General features: G+C 43.6%; 1 annotated feature.

The window, feature by feature from the left end:
* Positions 204–498: an enhancer, noted in NCBI's record as "tiled region #3250; HepG2 Activating DNase matched - State 9:DNaseU, and K562 Activating DNase unmatched - State 20:ReprD". NCBI's record gives its function as "activates a minimal TATA promoter and a strong SV40 promoter by Sharpr-MPRA in HepG2 and K562 cells {active_cell/tissue: HepG2 | K562}" and the evidence as "EXISTENCE:reporter gene assay evidence [ECO:0000049][PMID:27701403]".

The raw sequence follows: 8045 nt of genomic DNA on the forward strand, positions 1-8045 counted from the left end.
CTGAAGGAGAGGGCCGAAGGGCAAGGTGCAGAACTCTAAAGTTCCACCATGAACATCCTGAAGTCACAGACCAGGAGCTAGGTGGGTATCTTGAGTTTAGACCCCTGAGTTTAATTCCTTATGAAAATCATGCTCTGGGCTAGGCAAGGTGGCTCATGCCTGTAATCCCAACACTTTGGGAGACCCAAAGCAAGGGAATCATTTGAGCCCTGGAGTTTGAGACCAGCCTGGGCAAAATGGCAAGACCCCATCTCTACAAAAAAATTTAAAATTAGCCAGACATAGTAGTATGTGCTTCTAGTTCCAGCAACTTGGGAAGCTGAGGTGGGAGGATCCCTTGAGGTGGGAGGATCGCTTGAGCCTGGAGGTCAAGGCCTGCTGTGAGCCATGATTGCATCAGTGCACTCCAGCCTTAGCAACAGAGCGAGGCCCTATCTCAAAAGAAAAAAAAATGCTCTGGATGATCAAACGTAGATGAATAAAAAGTGACTTCAGCCTAATGACTGGAAAAGAGATGCATGAGAAGCTATTTTGTCCCAAGTAAGTTAGTGAAGTAGGAAGGCAAGGATGAGCAGGAGAGACTTGGGAGATTCAACAAACACAGCTTGTTGGCTGGTGGTGGGGCACACACAAGGAGGGGACAATGGTGCTCACCTGTAAGGAGGAGGAGGGTGGTATTTTTAACCATGACAAAGAGTGAGGGATAGGAAGGTTTTGAGGAGGAAGATAATGAGTTCCTGTTTGTGCTTTCTGCAGAGAAGGGAGTAGGTGGTGGGTAAGAATGCGAGGCTTTGCTAGGCTGGGGAGGGGGCTGGGCTTGAGTGGGGGTGGGCAGGAGGGAGGCAGAGGGACCTGCTCAGTTGGTGAGTGGGGGAGTTAGCATCTGAAAAGATAGCACCCTTCACTAGCTTCTCACAGTCTTGCGTCATCTGGATTTTTCTAGTGCACGGTTTCTCATTCTTGGCAATATTAACATGTTGGACCGGATGATTCCTTGTTGTAGCCGGCTTCTGGCGCTTTGTAAGAGTAGCCGGCTTCTGGCGCTTTGTTAGAGTAGCTGGCTTCTGGCGCTTTGTAAGATGTTCAACAGCAGCCTCCCCTCGGGGAGGTTCGGCTTCTACCCACTGGATGCCAGCAGCAACCCTCCAGTTGGGAAAACCAAACACATCTCCAGGCATTGCAAAATGTTCCCTGGAAAGCAAAATTGCCCCCAGTTGAGACCTCTGTTCTCTCAGCTTTTCCTTACATCACTTGAAAATTGTTGATTAAAAGGTGAGCCGTTTGATAACCTTTTTTAGCAAAAGCACTTGTGTCCAGTTCGAAATCCTGGCTCCACCACTTCTCTGGTTCATAACCTTGAGTGACGTTCTTGCCTTCTCTTGGTTTCTTTTTCTTTTTTTTTTTAATCTGTAAAATGGAGTTTTTGAGAGGATTGAATGAAGTAATCCATGTAAAGCATCGGGCTCAGTACAGGATGCCTGGTCAGTGTTCAATCATTGCTGGCTATCTTTATTAGTATTTTAGTGGTATTTAGGCACTGGTGATGTATCCAGACCACATTTGGAAATTTGGACCTGGAGATACAGACCTCACACATGTATCACAGACAAGAGGGCACACTCGAGGCTGTGGATATCTATACATGGTCTGGAGAGAAAGTAGACAGGAAGAAGAAGAGAGGCCATGTAGACAGGGAACTAGGTGTAGCTTTTCATCTAACCAACATTAAGTGGCAGCCCTGACCTTTGGGCAGTGGGAAGCATGGTCACTGATTGTCTTCTTGTGGAATGGGAACAACGTTGATGCTGGAGTTAGTTGAGTGCACACCTTGGAGTCAGGTGCTGTGCCCATGTTAATGCTCACTACAAGGCTATGAATTAGGCACTCTTTATTGTGCTCATTTTATAGATAAAGAAACTGACACATAGAGAAGTATGATGGTGAAGGAGGGTGAGTTCAGCAAGGTAGGGTAGGAGAAAGGGCCTTTCACACAGAGAGGGGCCACATGAGGAAAGGCAGAGGCCCAGAACAACCTTGGAACAAAGAATGAGAGAGGTACAAAGGGTTGGAAGGCAAGACATGGATGGCATCCACTCTAGGGGCATCCCTGGCAGTGCCATGTCCAGCCATATTGGAGCCCAAGGCAAAAGGGAAAGTCAGTCATACTGATTCTGTCTGTATTTATTTATTTATTTGAGACAGAGTCCTGCTCTGTCACCCAGGCTGGAGTGCAGTGGCGTGATCTTGGCTCACTGCAACCTCCACCTCCTGGGTTCAAGCGATTCTCTTGCCTCAGCCTCCCGAGTAGCTAGGATTACAGGCCCACACCACCATGCCTGGCTAATTTTTTTGTATTTTTTTAGTAGAGACAGGGTTTCTCCATGTTGGCCAGGCTGGTCTCAAACTCCCGACCTCAGGTGATCCGCCCACCTCTGCCTCCCAAAGTGCTGGGATTATAGGTGTGAGCCACCACACGGGGCCCTGATTCTGTCTTTATTTAAAATTTTAGTATTTTGTTCATCTTGGAACTTTTACATTCATTTTTCTTTTTTAACAATTGCACTAAAATATTCTTTATCTTGACTGAATTTGTTGGCACTCACTTGGATGGACTGAACAGAATGCCAAACTCTTCTAGCCTTCTCAGCCTTGCTGCTTACGAGGCAAATTCCAGCCTGGGTCACTCCCTTGTCCCTTAGCCAGGAGAAGACAAGGATCCTGATCCCAGCCCCACAGGACAAGAGCCAATGGAAGAGAGGTAATTCCATGGAAAACCAAGGGCTTTCAAAAAGAGAAAATGGATCTGGGCACCTAAAACCTAACCAATCTATCTACTACAAGAAGTTCCTCTTTGGGCCATCCAAAGATCCTTGATGGCGGGAAGAAAGCATTCCAGGGGTGCTGAGGAGAGGAAGAAAGGAGAGAGTGGGAAGTGGGGTCGGCACATGGAACATACACAGCCAGGTGGTTAAGAACCTGTGCTACATCGTCATAGGAAAAATAAAAACAAAAACAAAACAAAAGCAAAACAAAATAAAAGAACCTGTGCTGCAGTGGAGAAGGCTGAGTTTTAGCTCAAACACCTACTAGCAGTGTCATTTTACCTAGTAACAACGGGGTAAGCCTCAGTTTCCTGGCTATAAAATGGGGATAAAAGTACCCATCTCATAAAGTTGTTGAGAGGATTAAATGAATTTAGTCATGTAAAAGTGCCTGAGCATAATAAGTATTCATCACTTTTTTCCTTTGTGTTTATTTATTTATTTATTTATTTATTTTTTTGAGACGAAATCTCGCTCTGTTGCCTAGGCTGGAGTGCAGTGGCCTGATACTGGCTCATTGCAGCCTCCGCCTCCCAGGTCAAGCAATTCCCCTGCCTCAGCCTCCTGAGTAGCTAAGATTACAGGTGCCCACCACCATGCCCGGCTACTTTTTTGTATTTTTAATAGAGACGGGGTTTCACCATGTTGACCAAGCTGGTCTCAAACTCCTGACCTCGGGTGATCCACCCACCTCAGCCTCCCAAAGTGCTGGGATTACAGGCATGAGCCACCATGCCTGGCCATTTTCTTCCTTTTTTAAGAACTATGGTATCAGCATTTAAAAATTTATTATTTTTCAAGCTGAGTAATGAAGGTGAGAGAGATGGAATAGTAACATGAGGCTTAGGAAGATCCCAGGGAAGGTTTGTTTTGTTTTTCTCCCAGTTGGGAGAGCAAGAGAAGGGTCCAGTGGAGAGGGAAAAACAGAGGCATGTGGTAAGCAGAGTCTCCGCTGAGTTGGGAATACCATATATATCCTCAAATTGAGCTCATCCATTCCAATTGAATGATTGGATCAGGTTTGCACATGCTGCTGGCAGTGTGGTCAGAATAAAGCCAGGGTCACTGAGTGCCAGGGCAGTTTTTCTCCCTGAAAACCTGGCCACGGTACTATACCCAATCAGTGTAAATCCTGGAGTCACTCCTCGTGCCCAGGTCATAAGGATGTGAGATATGATGAGATCTTTCCCATTACACTGTTAATGAAGCCCCACTCAGCTAAAACACACCCTGAAGGGGCCCTGTAAGATAAACACTCTGGCATTTCCTCTAGAGTTGCTGAATATCAGGGAAAATGCTTTCCGTTCTTAGGTTATTAATTCTGAAAGCTTCATTTCCAGCTATAATGGACCTTGGTGATAAAAGGGTCAGATAAATGGGTCACAGCAACAATCTCTTAAGAAAGTAAGGTCTGCTTTTTTTGTGTGTGGAATTAATAAGGGCCTCACCCTCTTCACCTGGGAACCCCAGGAGGTCCAAAGCAAGCCTTCCCTGACCTTTTGGGGTGAAGTCCCCCACTCCGTGTTTCCATAGAACCTTGAGATCAATGCTGACAAGCCTTAACCACCATGCACAGTCTCTCCCCTATAGTTTCTGAGGGCAGAGATTCTCTTATTTGCCTCTGTATCCCCAGCATCTATCAGAGTACAAGGCACACAGTGTGTCAACTCATGTCTCATGAATGAACTTACATGCTTTACAAAACATCATCACAAACCAGCTGTTGGAAAAAAGAACCCTGTCATTTCCTGAATTAGCAAAGTTCAGAGCTGGCTTTTCCAGCAGGTATGTTGTTCTGAAACTGACCAAATAGTCTCATAGACAGTTTCTTCTGATAAACATTTGAAAGTTACCCTTCTGGTCTTAAACCTTGAAACTCACCAGATCCAGACAATGAGATGCCAGGCCCCTCATTCATCATGATTGCTTCCTTACTCCTCCCCAGTTCCTGTTTTCTCATACGTAGTTGCATTTCTCCCTTCCCATATAAACCCCTAATTTTAGTCAGTTAGAGAGATGAATTTGAGACTGATCTCCCATCTCCTCCACTGCAGCACCTGATTGAAGCCTTCTTCCTTGACAGTACTCATCTCAGTCATTGACTTTCTATGTGGCGAGCAGCAGGACCTACACCGAAACCCTGGTGTTTCAGTAACAGTTCAGGGTGGAAACAACCATGTGTGTTAACAACAGTAATGATGTTGACAATGTACAGTAACTAAAAGTTGAGTACTTACTGTATACCTGCCATTGTTCCAATGATTCTAATGGCACTATGTGTGTTAATAACAGTAATGATGCTGACAATGAGCAATAACTAAAATTTGAGTACTTACTGTATGCCTGGCACTGTTCTAATGATTCTGATGGCACTTTCTACTGATGATCTCATTTAATCTCAAAATAAACCTATAAGGTAAGCTACTAATATGTACATTTTACAGACGAGGAAACTGAGGCTCAGAAAGGTTACACACAGGGTATTTGTGTTTGGCAATTACCTTCAGGCTCTCTTGCTGCAAACTGAGCTCCAGGGGCCAAAATAAGGCATGGAATTTGCCAACTTTAAATCTAAGGGATATTTTAGTGTGTCTGAGCCATAGATTTATACTGTGAAATAACAGGTCCCTCTAGTCTGGGCCTACTGTTTCAGAAAAAGTGGAAAATACTCCCCCGGTGGTTTTGTAAATAGTCCTTAATTGAACTCAGCATTGGTATCATTACCACCAAGTTCTGCAATTAACCAGCCTGAAGATTGCTTGCTAGGTTGCAGCTACAGAGATATTTACATATCCATGTTTTTACTGTAGGCAAGACTTCCAGCATGTAAATTGCTTATCCAGCCATAATCATAGCTGCTAGGAAGCTGCCTGGGGCCATTTCAGGGGAATGAGGAAGGGAAAGGATTCCCCTAAAGCCAGCTGTTGCTATCTCAGAATAACAACACTAACAATCAAGAACTAACATATGTACAGTCCTTTAAAAATTACAAAACACATTCTCATACAGTGACTCGTGTCCATTTTTAATTTCTGTAATAGTAGGGAGGAGAGGACTGCTGTGAGGGTCATTATTTTAAAGAAGAATCCCCAAACCCCTGTTTCCTCCAGGGCAATATTGTTGTCTTTGATTCAATAAATATTCAGTGAGCACCAACTATGTGCAAGGAACTGTACTAGGTGCTGGAATGTAATGGTGAACACAATAGACACTGTCCCTGGGCTCATGAAGCTTATAGTCTAAGTGGGGAGAAAGACCTTAACCAAATCATGCATACAAATAAATATAAAATTGTAACTACTGCAGTGCCACCAGAGAGGTAAAAATTGCAATGGGATCCTAAAATAGAGAGATTTAATCAAGATCAGGAAAAACTTTTCTGAGCTGTGATAATTAGGAGTTAACTAGGCAAAGAAAGAAAAAAGAGCATTTCATGAACAGGCAACAGCATGTGTAAAGAACCAACACATGTCTAGAACTAAGAGCATGTGTAAAGTCTCTAGAACCAAAGGAAGTTATCATTTCTGCCAAATGACCAACCTATTTTCTGCCATATTTTATTGGCTGAGGCCTTTTTAAAAAAGCATCATTAGAATATAGAATCTTAGAAATGGAAGGGATTTTTCAGGGTGCTGTAGTCCAGGTAACAAACAGTAGGTGCATAGCTGATTTTTGAATGAATGGAGTGTCAAAGGAGGTGTATCAGTTAGTTTTTGCTGAATAACAAACTATCCCCAAACTAAGTGGCTTAAACAACCATCCAGCCCTTCATTCTGTGGATTGGTGATTTGGATGGAATCAGCTGGGTAGCTTTCATCTGCTCTAAACTGGGTTTATTTATATACTTACGGACATCCCCCAGGTCAGTCAAAATGGTGTATCACTTTTTTCTGTGATTGCTAATCTTCCAGCAGGTTAGACTAGGTTTGTTGATACAGCAGCAGGGTTCTGAGAGAAGCAAAAGAGGTTGCTAGGCCTTTTATTGCCTCAGGTTCAGGACTCTCACAACCTCATTTCTGCCATATTCTGTTGGCTGAGGCTTTTTTTTTTTTTTTTTTTTTTTAATGATCAATAGAATATAGAATCTGAGAGATGGAAGGGATTTTTCAGGGCGCTCTAGTCCAGGTAACAAACAGTAGGTGCATAGCTGAATGAATGGAAAGATGAACACACCACACATGCCCATCTTCAGCAGTTCCAGCCCGTGGAATGTAGCGCTAATGGGCTGGACTGGTTTCTCTACCTTGAGTTTATTTTTAATTTCACATCCTTGCCCCCATCCACAGTGAGGTCAGAGAGGTGTATCTAAAATGTCAACCTCACCTTACAACCTTCAATGTTTCCCCAGTGCCTGCCAAGCCTATTTGTCATCAAAATCACCAGGATAGGCTGTTTTAAATACTGACTTTGTGCTGGGCTCAGTGGCTTAGGCCTGTAATCCCAGCACTTTGAGAGGCCGAGTTGGGAGGGTCACTTGAGGCCAGGAGTTCAAGACCAGCCTGGGCAACATAGCAAGACGGTGTCTCTACAAAAAAATAAAAAATACAGACTCCTGTCCCCCATCCTAGATTCACTGAATCAGAATTTTTGGGATCAATATTTTTAAAAGCTGTCCCAAGGAGTTAGATCCAGCAACCGATCCAGCTTTTGGGTACCAGTGGGCTGCCAGGCAGTCAGATTCAAGTTTTGCAAAGAAGGTTTTCTAGCATTATTGATCTCATCAGCTCAGACACTTGCCTTCTTAAAAAAAACTCATACTCCTCCCTCTGCACTACCCCCAGAACTGATGTCTTCCTTCATTGTGAACCCAATATATCCTGTAGAGACTTTAAAAAATCATATTGTTATTCAAAATGCATTATTAAAATTGGTATACATATTTGCCACACTCCCACTCCCCGCCCCAGCCCTTTTCCCACTCCAAGTAGATTGTCAGGTCCTTGAGGGTCATATTCATTATATTAACTTCAGTGCTTACTGGAGGTCTCAGTGCAAAATTGATCCAATGAACCCAAGTGTTCATTGACGGATGAATGGATAAACAAAATGTGGTATGTACACAAAATGCAGTATTATTCAGCCTTAAAAAGGAAGGAAATTCTAACGCATACCTCAATAGAAATGACCCTTGAGAACATTACGCTAAGTGAAAAAAGCCAGTCATGAAATAATCTATGATTCCACTTATATGAGATACTTTGAGCAGTCAAATTCAGAGACAGA

Source organism: Homo sapiens, chromosome 8, assembly GCF_000001405.40.
Source record: "Homo sapiens chromosome 8, GRCh38.p14 Primary Assembly".
Taxonomy (NCBI): Eukaryota; Metazoa; Chordata; class Mammalia; order Primates; family Hominidae; genus Homo; species Homo sapiens.